Raw genomic sequence first — 1,177 nt, 5'->3', positions numbered from 1 at the left:
GCCTTTCTCCTCCTCCCTGCCTCCAACCCCACTAAAGGTAAGTGAACAAGGGCCTTGGAGAACCACCAGATGGGGGCTGTTTTCTGGAAGGGGAAGCTGGCACTCACTCGCTGGCCAAGTGTGGGCTGAGCGTCCCCCAGGCTGTGGCTGCACAGGGCACAGGAGGGTCCCCGGGAGAGCTTGAAACATGGCCCTTGGGTTTGAGGGTCCTGAAACTGGGGACTGAAGCAGCCCAATGGCAGAGAGGTGGCTGAAGCCCCCACTAGGCAGGGAGAGAAGAGTGGGCAGCCAATGGAGTGCCCTGCAATCCCCCAGTTTGAAAAAAACCAGAGCCAAGCGGGATGCCTGCCAGAGGGGAAGGAGCCTGGAAGCAGACTACAGGCAGGGAGAGCTCAGGGGCACCCTAAGAAATAATCTAAAAGCCCATGGCCCCTGTCGAGGATGGTGTCCTTATGCACCGCCACATGGATCTGAGAGAGTTGTTTGTCAGGAGGTGGGGAGGTGTCCCTAAAGAATCCACAAAAGGGTCCAATGGGAAATTTCCAATATGTGTACATAGGCAATGAGAGAAAGCATTACACAGCTCAGAGCAAACCACAGCTGAACCACAGGTCCCTGGACCAAACCAGGAGCTGCAGAGAGTAGGTTAGAGGCAGGAAATGTGGTGCGGGGAGAGAAGGGAAAAACTTCTATTGGATGAGAGAGTGAAGTTTTGGTTTGGATTACACTGCACTTGCTAATATCTGAAAGTCGACCAGACCTCTTTAAGATCTGCCCAAGATGTAACCAAGCTGTAGTGAAGGGACAGCTCAATCAGCTGTCGAGAGGCCATGATGGAGAAACTCAAGGCTATTTCCTGATGTTGCCGAGCAAACCAGCCTTTTCTGTCACCAGGTGCACAAGGAAGCAGCAGGCAGGTGGGTGGGTAGCAGAATGCTAACAGGTAACTGCATTTCCCCAGTTCTAAGGCACAATTTTCTTTAAAGAGAACATTTTGACGTTTCTGAAATTCAATGCCCTATAAATCTAAGTTCACATTTATTATTTTTCCTCCAAAGACATTTTTAAAATTTATGCTGTCTTAAAATACATCACATCTTAGGATGGAGATTAGTTTGTAATGACAGAGCTGATGACAGGCTTTATGTTTCTTCAAGTGCTCTCGCTGGCACTATCA

The 1,177-nt window shown here is 49.8% G+C and overlaps 1 annotated feature.

Annotated features, from left to right (window-relative positions):
- Positions 317-818: an enhancer, noted in NCBI's record as "H3K27ac hESC enhancer chr8:9134231-9134732 (GRCh37/hg19 assembly coordinates)". NCBI's record gives its function as "activates a minimal SCP1, AML or CMV promoter by ChIP-STARR-seq in primed H9 embryonic stem cells {active_cell/tissue: H9 hESC(primed)}" and the evidence as "EXISTENCE:reporter gene assay evidence [ECO:0000049][PMID:30033119]".

Source organism: Homo sapiens, chromosome 8, assembly GCF_000001405.40.
Source record: "Homo sapiens chromosome 8, GRCh38.p14 Primary Assembly".
Taxonomy (NCBI): Eukaryota; Metazoa; Chordata; class Mammalia; order Primates; family Hominidae; genus Homo; species Homo sapiens.
Note: the sequence above shows the minus strand (reverse complement) of the source record. Positions and strands in the feature narration are given on the sequence as shown.